The sequence below is a fragment of the Homo sapiens genome, chromosome 7 (genome assembly GCF_000001405.40).
Source record: "Homo sapiens chromosome 7, GRCh38.p14 Primary Assembly".
NCBI lineage: Eukaryota > Metazoa > Chordata > Mammalia > Primates > Hominidae > Homo > Homo sapiens.
The window spans coordinates 14,889,920-14,908,971 of NC_000007.14; the positions used below are offsets into that span (position 1 = coordinate 14,889,920).

General features: G+C 36.0%; 1 protein-coding gene across 24 annotated transcripts in view; it reads right to left on the reverse strand.

Annotated features, from left to right (window-relative positions):
* DGKB (diacylglycerol kinase beta) overlaps positions 1–19,052 on the reverse strand; it is an 829,810-nt gene that overhangs the window by 744,871 nt on the left and 65,887 nt on the right. For 12 of the 24 annotated variants that reach the window (XR_001744571.2, NM_001350724.2, NM_001350723.2 and 9 more), the window contains exon 1: positions 12,673–12,832. The exons of 5 other annotated variants lie outside the window; for them this stretch is intronic. The gene's annotated coding sequence lies outside the window, so the exon portion shown is untranslated. Of the gene's footprint in view, positions 1–12,672; positions 12,833–13,209; positions 13,738–19,052 lie in introns of those variants that run through there. 7 more of the 24 variants (NM_001350720.1, NM_001350712.1, NM_001350715.1 and 4 more) reach the window with 1 other exon arrangement.

Sequence of the window (19,052 nt, forward strand, 5' to 3'; positions counted from 1 at the left end):
GGGATAAATATAATACAGAAATACATTAACCCCTTTGGGTGATGTATAAAAACAATGAAAAAGAGGAAAAGTAAAACATGTATGCATTAAAAAATGCATCAACTTGTCAGAATTTACCTAATCATAAAATCTAATGATATTCCTCAGTCTGAGAGTCTTTTCATTCCATACAGTTTTCATTATCTTGCAAAGTTATACCATTAAAAATCCCACAGATAAAATTAATGAGGGCACATGCTATATTGTGTTCCAGACAAAATGACTGAGTATATTTTTTAGGTCACAGCTAACCCTATTTATATAGCTTACGTAAAATTACATAGGAAAGAAATGCCAGATATTTAAAAGTTATTCCAGGGACAATCTCATTTTATGATTTCTGAAGCTAAATAGCATGATTTTTGATAGATGAGAAATGTACACTTGCAAAATAGACTAGTATACTACTATGGATAAATCCATTTGAAGCTACAGTTTGCTATAAATCATGCTTTTCCTCTAACATGCCTTCGCTTATCTCATTAGATAATATTTACTTCCATGGAAAAATGATGTGGGGATAGGGCTGTAAGAAATGAAGTCCTAGCACAAGTGACCACCCACTCCTGAACTGAACCTGGAAATCATGACAAAAATCTTTAATAAGCATTTCTCCACACTTCATATAGTAAATATGGGATGTGTCTGAGAAAAACATCTTCTTTCTGTTACTGTGGGCATATTATCCTTTAAATGAGACTCCGAGAAAATGACATAGCACTGGGGAAAATACACCGGCTAATCACCTATTCTCCTCACGTGTGTGACCTCTTAGACTTCTGTTTACTTCCTATAAGACCTCAAAGACTCCATGCTTGTTCTTGTCAGACACCGAAAATAACGTTCATCCCTCCTCTTTATATCCAGGTTCACAATCTGAATACCCATGACCAATTCACAGAATGCCACAAATGAAAAAAAAAAAAATCCCTAAATCTAACTTACGCTTCTGAAATTGATTAAAGAAAGCTCCAATGACTACACTTAGTCGAATTAAAAATAATTTCATTCTCTCAAAATAGAATAACATTATTGAGTATTATCTCCAGAACAAGAAAATATAAGTATTACTGTTAAACATAAAAGAGAGGAAAATATGGTAACGTACAGGTACTTGTTCAGCATCAGTACAAACCATACTGATAAATGGACCAAGAGGAGGTACCAGTACTCCCACCTTATCCACAGGGAATACGTTCCAAAGCACCAAGTAGATGCGCGAAACCGCTAATAGTACCAAACTCTATATATACTACAATATAGTGCATTTCAGAGAATGAAGAAGATAGTCACTTACCTCTTTAATAACGTAGACAAAACGATAAAAACACTGTTGACCCAGAGAGATGCTTTATGAGATAACTCATCATCCCTAATCAAGAAAGGGGCATTATCAGAGTTCACCTACTTATTCAGTGCTTTTTAGGTACCTGTTTTATGCCAGGCAATGTTCAAACCACTGGAAAAAAACAAAGAACCAGAGACACAATAGGAGTGCAAGTAAAGCGGAAAAGCAGCACTGAAAGAATGAATACTTTAAGCAGCTTAATGTCAAAGGAACATTAGATTGGAAGAGAACAAAGTGACAATAGGTATTGCTGAAGAGATAAAGAGGGACCATGTTATGAAGCTTTGCGTAAAAGCAAGGGATACAGAGAAGGTTGTGAGTAGAGAGAAGTAGGGTTAACGTCATTGAGGATATTAATGATTTTTAAATTAAAATCCAAATTTAATTCAAATGCCTCAATGCTAGTACCCAAAATAAAAATAAATGACACAAAGAAGAAGTCAAAATACTTATCTCTCTTTTCATAAGAAAATATGAAGTACCTGGGTGGCAGGGCTCTGTAAGAAAACTGCTGTGGACAGTGAAAAGAAAAATAAAACATGGACATTTAGAAGAATTACCAGGGTCAGACTGAGATGAGAGATCATAGACTTATTATGACACCAGTTTTCATAGTTTTGTGATTTTCAATAGCATTCAATACCCCAATTGAAAATGCAAAGCCATTGAGAAAGGGTAAGGATTTTGCCAGACAGAAAAAGGAAGGAAAAGAGTAATACAGGAAAATAAAGATTTGTGCAATAGAGCTATTTATATTGTATACTAGGTCTTCTTTGGACAGTAAGAGAAGGGAGAATGAGAAAAAAGTCATGGAAGAAAATGAGGTGGGTCAAGCTACTGGATATTGGTGGGAGGAAGAGAGAGCAATGTTATCACTTAGTGTATCTCATGATTTCAAAGTGGAGAAGTTCCAGGTAATACCAAGATCCAGAATGGAGGCAATGCCCAGTGGATAACGTGGAAAGAAGTAGAATGTCAGCGAAGGTAAGGCGATTAAGGGATTTCTGCCAAGGATAATTGACTTACCTTACCTATGTACTCTAACCAATCCTAACGATGACAAGAGGTATAAATAAAGGAAAATTGCCATACAGACCTCTAAATCAGAAAGAGTAATAAGGAAGATAATAGATGACACTGAGGGGTAGATGGTGGTAATGTAATCAAGGCAAAATGAAAAACATATACATATATATTTACATATAAATAAATGTGTATATATAAATACATATGAATAAATTTACACATTAAGGTAAATTGTTATCATTATAAATTCATGATTATCTTGTCAAATATCCATCTCCACCTGCCCCCACAATACAACCTAGATCATAGTACATGACTCTGGTCCAAAACCTGTCTAATTTTATCCATAAACTTCAAATTTTCTCCACCTTGTTCAAACTCTACAGAGAAAATTTAAAATCCAGAAATATCCCTAACTTATGACTATAAAACCTAAATACCTGTTCAAATTGTTATATTCTTTCTTTTCTCTGCTTTTTCTTTATAGGCAGTGTACATTCTGGTCAAAGTCAACTAATACCATATATATATATGTGTGTGTGTGTGTGTGTGTGTATACACATATGTATATGTATATATGTACGCATATACATATCTATGTGTATATATACACACACATATGTGTGTGTATATATACATACATATATAGATGTATGTATATATGTATATATGTGTATATACACTTTTCGTAGATATTTAAACATAATCAAAAATTCCCAATTCAGAAACATAAAAGCTGTTTCAAACTTCTATTATTCTCCAGAAACAGCTCTACCTTTCTTTAAACCTTCATAGATTAACTCTTTGAATGAGTCACTCTGTCTCCATTTCCTGAACTCCTACTCACTCAACAAGTTTTTGTCTGGGTTTCACCCCTCATCACTCCAGCAATACATGTTTAGCTATAATCACCAGTGATCTTCCAGTGTTCAAATCCAATGAGTATGTTTTAGTTCTCATCTCAATTAACCTCTCAGCAACATCCAACAGTGATGATTACTTTGTCATCCTTAAAAGACGTTTTTTCCTGGTCTTTAGAACATTCCAGGTTTCTGTTGCTGTTTTCTTCCTCTATAACAAATTGTTTTCATTCTTTGCAAACTCTTCTATTCCAATGCACTTTAAAAGTATTAGGATATGTCAAGATTTGTTCCTAAAATTACCTCCTTTTTCACTCTACGTTCTCTTCCCAGGGATTTGTAGCGATGCCAAGACTTCATTCCCCATCTATGCCACCAAATTTTTATATCTCTTTCCTAGTTCGTTGCCGTTATCTCTTTAATCATATAGCCAACTGTTCACTCTAGAATTACACTTGAATAAATGAAAGAAATACTCGTTTTCACAGGAGGATAAAAGAATAATGATTTCTAGGTATATCTTGAGAATTGCTTTTATTTTCCCCTCTTGAGTAAATTTCTATTCTTCCCTCAAGATCTAACTCAAATTCTAAATTATCTGTGATTAATTCCTGAGTCTCTTGTTCTCCCCATCTCCTATAGCAACATGTGCCTACTTCTACAACTGCACATAGCCCATGGTATTATAATTTATACATGTGTCTTCCTCCAAATCCCAGTATAGGATCTCCATAATGTCAAAATCGGGTTCTGTTCATAAGTTTTTTTTTCCAGAACCTACTACTCTGATGTATGGTAGGTGCTCAAAAATTTTAAGTGAACATTTAAATGCCAATAGACCAGTACTTCCTAAAATGTGCTCCAGGGTTTCCAAATATATATTAATAGATGCTCCCAGAAGGAGGGATTCTGTGGTTAAATAAGGCCAGGGAAGTTTATACTAAATCCTGTTTTAGAGATGCCGATTCTCATGTGAAGGACTATAAGAAGTTCCTAAAATAAAAAACTGTTCAACTTTATTTAATATTTAAATAAGGAAGATGTCTTTCTCTTTTCCTCTTTTAACATACGTATTAGCATTCCTCAAACAGTCTTTCTTTATCTCTTAACATAGTTTGAATTTTAACTCATGAGGATCAGCAAAACGCATATTAGAGAACCAGAGAGGATGGCACCTTCTCTTTGATCAGGATGCTCCATGGTGATAAGACACAGGCGCTAATTTCTTTAATGTAGCTTTGAAACTTCTTAGTGGAGAAAAATTTTTTATCAATATGGCATTGCTATATATTGACAAATACATCAAATCTAACATATTCTTCTTGTGTTTTGTTTTCTACAAAGTCACTAATTCAGGACATTGCCTAGCCATAAAGAATAGCAATATAATTACAGCCACATTCAAGCCATTGTTTTGTTTTGTTTACTGAAAGTGCTCTTTCACTTTTGATATTATCTTTTTGATAATATAGTTGCCTAAGCACCAAATGTACCACCATGCAGTTATGCAGGTACCTTGGACAAAAAAAGCATTAATAGCTCTAAAACAAAATTTCCACTTGAAGCTCAAAAGCCTTATCACTTCACTTTCAGAATATGTGGTCTAGTAGTTTGGATAGAGTACATTCAAAGCCAGACACCCAAAACAACAGTCCTCCCATAAATGGCTTTTATGCTATGTTATCTTTAATGTGTAACAAAGAAGAAATCTCTATTTGCCAAATAGAAACTTCTAATATATATCATGACAAACAACATTATATAACAATAGAGCACCCCTCCTAGTGATCAGAATTCTCATGAAGAACAACATGATAGCAAAATGACTCATCAGCTTTTTGTGCTGTTTTTCTATGTGGGACAAGTGTGAGGAAGTTACAGGTTGTTTATGTGCAGCCCAAAATGACAGGCAAGAGAAGTTACTAAGCAACATTAAGTACTTGCATTTTTCTAATCTTTAAAAGCTGTCCAAAGCAGAATAATCCTATAATATACAGGTAACAGGAAAAGCAATGTGGGAGTTATGTTTTTGACTGAATGAAAATGTTTTGTTTAATAATTCTAAAATTCTGATTCACTGTGAGTTCATCTGTTTTAGTCTTAAAAATTGCTTCAGGTGTATAAGCCTCTTCTACTCACTGCCACCTGTTATACTCACTGTCAACAAGACAGACCAGGTCTACAATGAAAAAAACATAATGGAGGTTTGCAGGTGGGGCAGGAGTGGTCCTTATGCCTCCTGAAACCAGCTTGTTCTCCTATTAATTATATTATTCCTATTATGCAAATAGGATCTTCTGCTCATCTAAACATCAGCTCTTTGTTCCTTTCACAGCACTATTACAACAGCAAATCATGGACTTGTTTCCTTGTTTAGGTCTGTTCATATCCGTCTTTCACCAAAGTGCAACCTTTAGTACTGTAGGAACTTTTCCATCCATTCCTCTTCTTTCACCGATCCTGGCAGAATGCTTGACACAGAGTAGCCCGTCAATGACTAAAGGATGAATAGGATACAGGACCGTGGTATAAGTAAGTACTTCTGTCTCCTAAGGGATAGTTTTCATATCTCTATATGAATCTTAGACTTCCCAGAACTAGCTGAGTATGACTGACAATCTCCATACACACTAGGGAAGGCAAGACAAGTGAGAATTCTCCAGCCCTTATTTCTTTTCATTAAGGAACCAACAAACAGATTCATTGGTCAAGAGCCAAACAAGAAACACTTCCTTATATTTTCTGTCTCAGCAAAACAAGTTACTGAATAAACTACAAACTCATCTTTTCTGCGTGAAGTTTTGTTTTCAGGTCAAGGATCTTGTCATGCTTTTCTATAGCACCTCTGTTTCTTCTTCCTTTCCAGTTCATATAATCCAAAGGGAGTTTGATCTAGAAACTAATAGGTTTCCTCACATCAGAGATCATATTTCCCCAACATGCTTAGGTACAAATAGCAGAGTAGCCAATATAAAGCAAAACAGAATATCCTTTTGTATATTAAAGGATGATAGCTATGACTATGTTTTCAGAAGATCAGAGGAGAAAGAATGAAAGACCTTTCCTCATCATTTTAGGTAAGGGAAAGGGAGTTAAAATTTCTGAGGATTAATTGCATGCCAGATGTTCTTCTGGGTAGTTTATGTGTGTTGTTTAACTTATCTATGTTAATAGTTACCTCTTTTTATATTTTAATAAGAATATTTGGGGCACAACGGTAAGTAATGAAATCTTACAAAGTGTTTATAATAATATTTAATAAATTTTGTAGCCTCAATAAATATTTTATTAATATAAAACTAAGGAATATTTTTAGATTTAGATTTCATTTAGAACATTTTCTTTACTACTGATACTTTTTCTCTGAGACAATATTCCAAGTAAGTTGGAAATAATAGCTAATATTTTTTAATGTTTATTATGTGTATTCTGTTTAAGCCCCTTACATTCATGATTACGTCATTTAATTTTATGAAATGGCTTGTATTTTCATTATTCCTGTTTTACAAGGAGAAGTCTAAAGCATAGAATTTAAGTTACTTGCTTAAATTCATCCAAATAGTAAGGATTTTACATCCAGACAGTTTGAACGCAGAAAGTAAGTTTCAAGTCCTATATCATCAAACCTAAGAAAATGATGAAACTCAATAAAACTTCTTTTCATATTGAGAAATTATATATAGAGTTGACTTCTCCATAACCTTATTCACAATTCCATCTCATTATGAACAATCAGAACAAAATACACAACTTGGGATTCTAAAAGAAAGTGTATTATAAAGCATGGCCCAGCTGCCTCACTGGGGGAAACTCATTCCGAGATTACTCTATTGATGGAACTCTAAAGACATTTTAAATAGCTGCGCATTTCTCATCCCATCTGTCCTTCCCCTGATTATTTGATAACTGATTCATGTGGATTAGAAAGAAGACTAAAATAGGATAGTTTGACCTAAGATGGTACTTTAAAAAAAATTGTATTTGGAAAGCCCTACGTGTTATACAGTTCACATAGATACAATATTTGAATACTAAATGAAATAAATGTATAAAAATGGAATTTGAAATTAGAATTTAAAATTAGAATTTTAATTATCACATAACCTGATAATTTGTAGGACAGGGTTTCTGGATTGAATTTCCCACCATCAACCATCACTTTACTCTTCTCTAGTGGTAGTGAAGTCTTGAATGTCTGCTTGCAGATATGATTCACTATTTATGAGCTATGATTGAATTAAAATCAGTGTGTTTTTTCTAAAGGGAAATAAGAGTTTAAGAAACAATTAAAAATCACCTTTTCACAACTTCACACTATTGTCCCACAAGAGCAAAACATCTTTGATGAACCACTTATTCTACTATTTGGGTTTTTTTCCCTCCCTAAATCTATGTTAATAACCTGAAACCAGAAAATAGGTATCAGTAAAAATTTTAATTTTGTGATATGGAAATAAATATTTTATCCATCATATTCCAAAATATTGCCCCACGTATTCTAAATATGTAACACCACAGAAGGTAATAAATGTGTTCTGAGTAATTTTATACTAATCATGACTTCTACTTATTAAAATACACACTTGCTCTCAGACATCATAGTTTTTATTTGAAAGCCAGTTCTCTAGTCTTTGGTGGGCAGGGGGCAAAGGCAAAATATTGTGGAAGTGGGACTACCTATTCCTTCAGCGGATAGAATTAGAGCCTGTAATACAGTTCATTAAAAGAAGTGTTTATTAAGCTCCAATATTATATTAGACACTGTGTTAAGCACTAAACTTCCAAAGATAAATAAGGTTGAACCCCTTCCTCAATGTAAAAAACAGATTATTTCAATTCTCTGTGGCATATTCAATAATAAAGGCAAGCACAAGTTTCAGTGGAACCATATAGAAAGACTGTTGGGCCCGTGGTAGAATCCAACTAGATACCTCAAAGTGTCATGATACTAGAGTAGGAGATTAAAGGACAAAAACACATTATCAAATGAAACACATTAGCATGGAGAGCGGGCAGAGGAGTTTGGGTGTCCAAAAGTAAATTACAGAGAGCCAAATGTAAGCAGAGACAAAGAAGGTGCAACATTGTGCGAACTGTGGAGGGTTATAATAAGCCAGTTGTGGTTAATAGTGGATTTAGATCCTTTTGGTTAGAAGAGTGGTCTCCAGAGCTAGACTGCCTGGGTTCAAACCCCGGCTCTATTCCTACCAGTTTGTAACTGTGACAAGTCACTTAACCCTGTTGTCCTTCAGTTTGCTCTTTTATAAAACGGGAATGAGGATAATAATTATCCCATAAGGGTATGATCAAGATTAAATATGCAAGATATTTATAAAGGCAAATGCCATGTAGTAAGCACTCAATGAAAGTTACTATCATTATTTTTAAACTAGAAGAGGAAGGGAGCCAATGAGCAAGAGAGCTGATTTTAGCACCACATTCAAAAATCAATCCTGAAAACTAACTCTATTCCCAACCCCAACCTGAAGTGTCACAAATGACAAGAGAATGAATCAGGGCCAACAATGTGAATGTATTTGCAAAGCTCTGTCACCACATACACATCTGACAATAGCTCAGGAGCATCCAGTTCGCTTATGGAGCGAGTCCATTTATTCTCTGATTTTGAAGGTAACAGCTTTTGTGCTCCTTGAATCTATAGTGATCGGCATATTGCCAATCAAAAATAACTGAGTTGGGGACATTGTGTTTCAAGTTTACAATGCAATACAAATTCCCTGTTAAAAGGCAAATCCTTCATTTCAAATTGTTGACTCAGAATATCCTTAAAAAAGAATTTCGGCTGTTTAAATTTAGCATGCTGAGAAAGACCAATCTTAAAATATTGTTTGGCTCTACGCCCATAACATTTTCACTTTATTCTTTGTTAGTGTTTGTCTTCTGTGATAAGACAAGTGACAGTAATCATGTTAGTCTCTGTAACACTTCACATTTTACCTAAATGAACCATTTTGTTTTTATCCTCACCAGTTAAAGATGGCTTTTGCTTCCTGGCAAATTTTCAGAAAGTGATTGTGCAAGAATCAGCGATATGTCCAACTACTCTTTTACCTCTTCAGTCAGCATCTGGCCTTTCTCCGCCACTTGTCTTTGAATCATTGTTTTTCCACTTTTAAAAAGAGTATGTAAAGGAGATTATCTGATGACTAGCATAATCTAATTTTTATAATAAGACTTTACAGCTATTTAAAGAGATGTTTTGAGTCTGCACTTTATCTGTGACTAAAGATCTCTACCCTACACACACACCCCAAAGAGTTTGTTATTTAGTGTCCCTCAGGACAAAGAGTGTGGACATATTTTTGGACCAGCCTTCCACTATATGATTCCCTTATTTTCTTTTTATACCTCTCTGTGTTTAGATCTTCCAACTTTTCTCCTCTCATATTAACTGCATTATCTTCCATTTCCTTCCTGGAAATGTCCCCATGTTCATTTTCAGAGTTTGGGTAGCCAAAGCAAAGCCTGAAATTGGAATCGTGAGTGTGCCAACTTTGGATCTGGGGTCAATGCAGGTGGATTCCAGTTTAGGTGGATCCAATTTTGGGTATCATCAGAGAAGGAAGATCTCTCAAGCACTATCCACCCACGGCATCCACAAAATAATATGCTCAACCCCACCCTGATCCATAGTAGAGTACCATTTTAATTTTTTTTAAGTAGCAAAGCAGTTAAGAATTAGAGTTAGTCACATCGAGTGGTAAATTCTAACCCAGCATTCACTAAATACGTTGCTTTCAGAAATTTGTTTATTCCCCCTGAGTTTGAGTTTTTTCTAAAGGGGAGAAAATGCCGTCTCCCTCCTGTGAGGGGCATATGTAAATGAGAGAGCATATGTAAAGCTCTTGACACAGTATGTGCAACTGCTGCACTCAAAATAACTGCCCACTACTACTCATTCGTTGTGTGACGAACAAAGCACATGAGAAAATAATCCAGGGCTATCAAGTAGTTGAACCTACTTCATAGTAAATACCCAAGATATTGACTATGGTATTGGGACATAACATATGTGACTCACTTGATCAGAATTTGCGTTGGTGTTTTACAAGAGAAAGAGAATGCTATTGCTGGAAGAGAGGCAACAGGAATAGGCTTCTTCACTATTTTTCCTGGAGTTTGCTCTGGGCAAGTGCTCCTCGGCTAGAGGTACTACTCTTTAGAGAATACTGCAACAGTATTGTGCATATATAAATACAGCTCTGTTCCTGAAGGCAGCCAGAAGAAACATCCAGGAGAGGATCATCTTGAAATGTCATTTCAAGCCTATAGATCACATCATAGTCGTTATCAGTAGGCAGAATTAGATTTCGCGATCAGCAGCTATCTTCATCTGGCTTGTCTGACTACAACTCTCCGTTCTTTCAATAGTGTGCAAGAAAAAGCATCAGTCATAGGATACTAGTTCAGACACTATCCCAGCAAAACTTACCAATGGTTTTAAATTGTTAAAACAATTTAAATAATTGTTTTATTACACAAATGATTTTTATAATCTTCCCAGTCATAACTTGAGCTTTGCTTACCAGTAGGACAAGAAAGTATGAAGCAAAGGCATTGCCACCGCTCAACTCCAACTACATAAGTTTCTAGATTTAAAAAAATTTTGTCAAATTTTTATCAGTGCTCTTAACCTAATTTTCTTCCTCTTTAGCTACATAAAGATTTCAGGTAATAATAGTTGACTCTAGAGTATTAGGGAACTGCTTGCAAATTTGCTCCAACCATATTCTTCTATTCTTCATATAGACTTTTCGTTTTCTTTCTCATTGCTGTCAAAAATTTTTAACCACCCTCATGTATGCACTATTGTAGCAAATATATTCCCTGCATTATATTTTACTCAGTGATTCACAAGGTCACATGTAGACTTTATGCACAGGGATACTATGTATGTGTGTGGCATGGATCGCCTATAACAAATTGGGCACTCCAACAATGCCAAAAAATATTAAGTAAGCCTTTATACCTGGAGATCCCCGTGATGAGTAGAAAATTAGCCAAGACTATTCCAATGACATTCTTGACGTGTTTTATTTTTGGTAAAAGCATGAAGATTTGGTGGATTAGAGAAAGAGTAGCACAATTTAAAACTGAAATTATAGGATAAGAGTAGTCCTTGGTTACCCATTTTCTAAAGACAGAGGATTTCAGAATTACTTTGTTTTTCACAATTGTTATTTCACAAATTTTGAAGCTTCTTCTCCTATGGAATATATGCTAGCCTATGGACGTATCCAGATTAAAATCTTACATTCTCTTTTAGGTAATTTCTGTTTTGTCAATAATTTTTCTTGGAGAAAAATGTACTAATACAGTGTTTTCTCCAATGATCCTCCAACTAAGTCTAACATTTTTGTGTAATATATGCTTTCTGTTTGAGGGATTTCCACCCCCCCCCACCCCCCACTGCCCCACCACCACTGTAAAAATCTGGTCAATGCAAGAGGACCTGGTTAGGTACCCCAACATTTTTAACATTAATTATTTCTGATTTATTTTCTAGAAAAGACCTTCAGTATTCTGCTTGCATTCATGTTTATTTGGTCATTTGCTTTACAATGGACTGGTCCTTGCTGACCTGTTTTTAAAAGAGTTGGTTATCTGCAATTTGAGCAACCAGTTGAAGTTGTTTTATAAAAGTTTTAAGCCTTCATTTTCTGCCAGTGAACACAATGCTGCTTGGTTTCTAAGTATAGAGCCATCTATGTAAAAATCGCCACTTTAAAATCACAAGAAAGAGACTGTTCAGCAAGTGGAGGAGATTATTGCAGCAGGAAGAAACTGAGGGGACCCTCCATGTGGCACCCACTGAAGAGTATTTGAATGTTTATCATATCATCAGTGTGGCCTAGGCTGTTGCCTAGCAGTTATCTAGAGACCTACTTCACGTTTTATTTTAATTTAATAAGGTAAATCGAAGACTTTTGTTTGCTTGCTTGCTTGTTTAGTTCACAGATTAGGAATAAATCTGGACTGGAACTTGTAACAATTAACTAGGGCATTTGAAAGTCCAAGCCAGCCTCTTTATGAATTACATTTTGAAAAGACAAGCTGCTATCTCATTGGTAACTTTCAGGAGACCACTCTTGGAATTAAATTTAGAAAACATTTATCAGTTATGTTGCCCAAAATCACAATGGACAGGGCACTTTCTGCATAGCTAATACACAAGCGGCATCCGCCTGCAAATCACAGAGCACCCCTACTATAGCATAACTAGGACAGGAGTCAGGGAGACGAACCGATTTAACATTTCATGGAGAATTCAAAGCTATGCTTCTCTAACTTTCCTCCCCATTTCTTCCCAGCTTCCCTTCCCCCGCACCACACACCCAGAAGCCACTCAATTTGCCAACCATGTCCAGTTTAACTTACTGCAGTGTGATGCAGGCGAAAGCTGAGCGCATCTCTGAAGCGAGAGCCACTGCTTTTCCGGAGAGGAACTGGGACTAGCCAGTTCTCAGGATCCTTTCCAATTCACACGCTCCCGGCACAGTAAGAAGGCTCCCACACAGCTCGGCTTCCCCAGAGGAGTGGAGCTTCAAGAACTCTGCTCACAGCATCCTCCTCCCCACTGCCACCCCCTTCCAGAACACCCGGCCCATTGGAACTAGTGTCTGAAAGATGGAAATCTACTTCCAGGCAGCAACACAGGCTGCCTGCAGTTCACCCGTCTCTGATCATTTGCAACTAAAAAACAGCGGAGGCTGAAAGACGTAGGTTTCCGGAGCCTGAAAGTCATCTTTGGCGTCCCCCTTCCCCACCTCTCACTCCTCCCACTTCATCCCCGCTCCTCTATCGCGTCCACCCCCAGTCCTCCAGACTCCCACTCAAGCTAGCTATCACAAATGATTATTTTATCATCCAAACCAGTAAGCAGCTGAAGGAAACAATTTGTCAGAGATGAAATACCTGTTGTCCATGACTAACGCTCTTCTTCAGTCTCTCTTAGTCCTTGATTTATGTCAAGACGCGTTGATATTGGAAGTCTGTGCAGTGTGTGTGTGTGTGTGTGTGTGTGTGTGTGTGTGTGTGTGTTGAGGAGGAGGCGATTTGCGCGGCTGCAAGCACCAGCCCTGCCTATCTCTGGCTGCCGCTTCTCCAGCTGCTATTGCTACTCTTGCTGATGGAGCTCAGGGGAAAATGAGACAGGGAGACAAGGCTATACAGCTGTTTAACTGCTGGTCCAGTTATAAGACAGGGGAGGAGACGGTGCAGGTGAGAGGCTGTTGAGACAGTGAGCTGGATTCACTGCAATTACTACCACTCACTATACATCTCAGGGAGGAAATATGATACCCGTCTCCCCTCTCCCTTCTACAACTGTAGTCCTTGGTGGGTCATTGTTCAGCAACCATCTGCCGAAGCCACTTCTACCAATTGTAGCAGCTGCAGACGCTCTTGCTGCATTCCGGCTTGGTAACCTCGGAGCAGGTGACTGGAGGATGGATGAAGTAGAAAGGCAGTTAAATATTGGGAGAAACTCTATGTATGTGTAACCAATCAGGGCACAGATAAAAATAACAATTTTGAGGCACGTGTGTAAAATAGTGTATTAGGGTAAGAAAAATGTAAGTAAGTCAATAATCAAGATTTTTGTGGACTGTGTACAAAACCAGACAGTTATTAAGCAGTGTGCTTACCAGCTTATACACGGGGTATCTTGACATAGAAGTCCCGTGGTTGCTCTTAACTTATCTATATAATATTCTCAATGATTTCAATGCATTAACATCTCTCTGTCAGCTACAGACTCTGGTAAAACCAACTTGATTCTGTCTTCTATTAACTTTCATTTGCTCTCCTTATTGGCTGCTCTCATTAATCTCCAACATATTCTCATAAAAAATATGACATTCGGCAGAACTTAGAAATGGAAGACGTTCTCAAATCCCCCAAAGAATAGAATACTTCTTAATTACTAGTAACATTTGCTCTAGTAATAGTCTGTCTTCACTTTCTTGTTCTGTAGATTGAGTAATCATGAACAACCCCTCCTAAATACACACACACACACACACATCACTTAATTGAATAGTACTTTTAATCCACTTTCAGCCTCCAGTTGTCTGAGCTAAAAATAAACTTAATTCCTTTTGATTTTATTTGTAATGCACGCCTTTAATTATTTCTGCCTCTGAGTACTTTTCATATTGGCCATATTTTTTCCCAGTTGTTAGGGCTTGTGTAATCAGGGTTAATCAGGGTTAAATTAAACAGAGGGGGAACACGGAAGAAAGAAAATATAAGAAAAGACCCAGAAGGAAGAAAATAACCCAAAAGGATTAAATAATACATCTTTCCCTGATGTGTTTATACTGCCTTTAGCTAAACAAAGACCAGTTAATGAGCAAAGCATTTATCAATTATCCAACAAATATCAATTTGCCAAAGCCAGCCTAACTTCAATTTTAACAGATTTTATCAGAGGCTAATATTTTGTTTTAAAAATCATATAATACCTTAAATGCGAATAGCATCCAGAATTTTTTAACGTCAAAATTCTAATTAAACATGATGCCAAATAGCTATTTTTCTCTTCATTTGTTGTCTGTCCATTAAATAATTATTGTATCACACAATTAATATTATTAACAGTCTGAAGAGTACCTTTTTTATACTTGTGTACACTGCAGTGTAAGGAAGTAGGCACAAGAAGTCTCTAGCACATAGAAATACATTTTGATACAAAAGGCCAACTTTATCCACAAATGGTATGATTTTAAACTTGCCCTGCTCAACAAATTCATCCCTTACTATAACTAGCAGGATCTTGCCATTTGTAGTTTAGCAGGGTTTTCTTTTTGATCTTTTTGGTTATTGTTTTTTGTTTTACCTTTACTCCCATTTTGAAATTAAATCATATTTAGGAAGAGCACTAACACTCTAAACATTATTGAGAGACATAATTTATTAGCTATCTTCATTATAAATAAGAAGGAGTCTAAACATCTGGTCTGGGTAGAGCTGGAAGAACTACAAGATGTTAAAATAATTGGTAATGAGTATTTAACATCCATCTTGTTAGTTTTTTTTTTTTTTTTTTTAACAGCTTATAGCATTACTAAGATTCACTTTAAGAAAAAACCACTCTCTTAAAACTACAAGGTTTGGTAATGGAGGAAGAAAATTTTCAGTTAAGGATTGGTGATTGAATCTTATTCCTGACTCATAACTCAAGATTTTCCATTTTGTGGTAAAACTTACAAATCACTCCCTTACAACACTGTGCCCATTTCTCCAAGATGCTTCTCTGCTCCCATCACTAGATTTTCAGAAACTTCATGGGAATCTGTTTATCATTCATCAATCTAAAAAATAAGAGAAAAATGAACTTGCTCTATACTCATTCCTCAACATAATCATCAATTTGTGAAAATATATAGAAACGAATCATATTAATTTTCATCTACATCTCCTTCATCATCAAAACAAGTATTCCCAAACTAAATTTTGTAATTTAATGATAGTCATTTACTGAAGAGAACCCAAAAGTTTGCAAACTGTACAACAGCAAAAGCAAGCCATGTTTGCTTAGTTCATTCATGCGTCTCTAGCATCTACCAAAGTGCTTAGAAAGTGGTATGTGCACAGTAAAATAACGTTTGAATACGTGAGTGAATGAATTAATCTGTGAGTGCAGGGCATTGGGAAGATAAGTGAGCTGGAAATAAGGGTGTTTGAATTCTTTTCGTCTTTTTTCTGCTGCTAAATAACTGGCACTTTAAGGATGTGACTCACTTCTCAGGGTCTCTAAGTGTCCTTTCATATCTATCACTCACAGGCTCCACAGAACTGCACAATAATGCCTGTCCTTAAGATTCCTCCAAAATGAATTTTCTACTATACAAACTCAATCAATAAAGTTATCTAGAATCTAATTTCCTGAGGGGGCTTTCAGGGTCCTATTTAATCCCTAAGAAATTCACAGCTCTCTCTCTACTCCCCTTTTGACTTCTAAATCCCTACCTAGTCTTGTGATTACTGGACTAGAGCCTTAAAAAAAAAACAAAAACAAAAACAGATTGCTACACATTTATGTGTGCTTGTTCCTAAAATGTTGGCCTTATATCAAGGATTACAAGCAAGACAACTTTCATTTACCTTTCATCACTCTTAATAAATTAATTCTTAAACAAACAAAATAAATGATGAGAGACAGCACTTAAACTGTGAAGTATCAGAAGTTATTGACATTAGATAGAAATCTATCTTTTTTCTTTTTTCTGTCTTTTTTTTTTTTTTTTTTTTTTTTGAGATGGAGTCTCGCTCTATTGCCCAGGCTGGAGTGCAATGATGTGATCTCGGCTCACTGCAACCTCTGCCTCCCGGGTTCTAGCGATTCTCCTGCCTCAGCCTCCCAAATAACTGGGATTACAGGCGCATGCCACCATGCCCAGCTAATTTTTGTATTTTAGTGGAGACAGGGTTTCACCATGTTGGTCAGGCTGGTCTCGAACTCCTGACCTCGTGATCCACCCACGTTGGCCTCCCAAAGTGCTGGGATTACAGGCGTGAGCCACAGTGCCCGGCCTCCAGAAATCCATCTTTAATCACAGCACTGTATGTAAACTGGTGCTTAAAAATTACTTTGTCATGTTAATGTTTTTCAACAAACATTTATTAAACATCTATTATCTGCAAAGCATTGGGAAAAGAAACAGTTCAATAGGATATAGCTTTATCTTTTAAAGAATATACAATCCCATAAATAAAGGTATTCTCACTTTAAATTTTTTATATAAGTATTTTATCTTTCAAAAAAAATAAATTGCTCAATAATTTAAATCCTTACCAACTTTGGCTTTAATCATGAGAGGATAGCTACTTCCTAAATTTAACAAAGTGCCATACGGGAGCTTTTCCACTGGTTTTAAATCAATGAATCAGTGGGACATAAGCTGGAAGGCTAGGAGAGATTCAGAAAAGACATGATATTATTGCACTCCCCTTGAAAAGAATAATGATCATAAAATATGGGATTTGATAGGCCTTCAGATCTCTTTGGGTCCAATTCTCCTCTTTTACAGGAGAGGAAACTAACAAAATAGATCACCATCACTAATTTCTGGGCAGGCCATTTACAGGCCTTTCCACTGGACTTCCTGGCTTTGTCACAAAACAGACGTGCTTCAATTCCCAGCTAGGTTAATTACTGGCTCCATGATTTTGGGAAAATAATTTTTTTCTACACCTTAGTTTTCTCACCTATGAAATGAGGATGCCATAGCACCTACCCCACAGAGTGGTTGAGAGAATCAAATAATGTGTCATGTGTGAAGCACATAGCACAGTGCCTGGCAGCATTCTGCATGTGCGCTTACATGTATACGTGCATGAACACACACACATGTGCACAGGGGTAATGGTTTCCATAACTGTGTGCCCTGTCTTCATTGAAACCATAATTTCTGAGGTTAATATTTAAGTATATGACTTTCAAATTATTCTTATTTCTTTATACATGAATATGTAACTGAATGGTGATGGCAGAATCTGAATGATTCTTAGGGGCAGCAAGCTTATTGTTGACCTAGTAGGCAATTTTAAATCAGAAAGGCAATTCTTCCTCTGCTTCGATGAAGGTACCTGGTATTATAAAGTGGTCTGAGCAATGATAAGTAATATTAATTAGGGGAGAAGATATTCAGTCAAACTTTCTGAGCCACCCACAATGTGTGAAGTCCTAAGCTGGACACATAATTAAGGAACCACAGAAAATGCAGCAAAACACGATTTAAAGCACAGCATAGAAATTCTGTGACAGAGAAATTGTAGTTGTCCAACTGAAGTTTTATGTGGAAAATTAGCAGACTGTAATATAGCCCAGCCATTTATTTGGCTGTCTCAGTGATGGATGTGGAGTAAACTATAATTGATTTAGCAATGGTCATCCACACAGTGTTCCTGAAAATGTCCACGTTTTATACTGCATGACCTCACTTTATTATTTAGACCAATTGTTTAAAAAAAGAGAAGGCATACATATTGTGATTTTATTTTATTTTTTTGAGAAACTACATAGGCCAATTTAACTAGTTCTTCTATACCCACTCTAACCCTTGAGCAATATCCCATCACTCTTTCTAACACGCTGGAGGCCATTTAGGTGTCTCTACATTAGACTTAGAGGCCAAATTATATTCATATTTACACAGAGCCCTGCACACAGAAGGCACTGAAAAGATTTTCAGTTGTATTGATATGGACTTGTATCAAATAATCATTTTAAATGTCAGTTTTGAAAGAGAACAGAAAACCTCCATCTAATAGCTAAATCTTTAAAACACCATGCTATCAACTGCAAATAAATACACTAGCTTTAAGCCATCTAAATGATTAAATCTGTTTATATTGTTTACAATTTAGAGAAGAATGCCTTAAGATAAAGCATTTTATTTTTTTTGGCTGAGTTGGGGAGGGCCTGAATAGCTTTCTATCATATCTTATATGTGACTTAACCTTAGAGCTATTTTTTATTAAATGAAATCTTACCTTTCTGTAACTTCTATAAAGACAGGTAACTTGAAAGGAAGAGTGGAAAAATTTGTAACAGTAATGATAGCCTCATGCAGTATGCATCAAAATGCATATACATATAGACTGGTTTTGGGGTGACTTTAACAAAGCACTTTGTTGAAAAAACAGATGCTATATAATTGTGGAAATGTAATAACAAAACTCATTATCATTATCTTCACTGTTGTAAATCAGCCATCTGTGTGGTATTTGTCCTTGAAGTTAGTTTGAAAAAG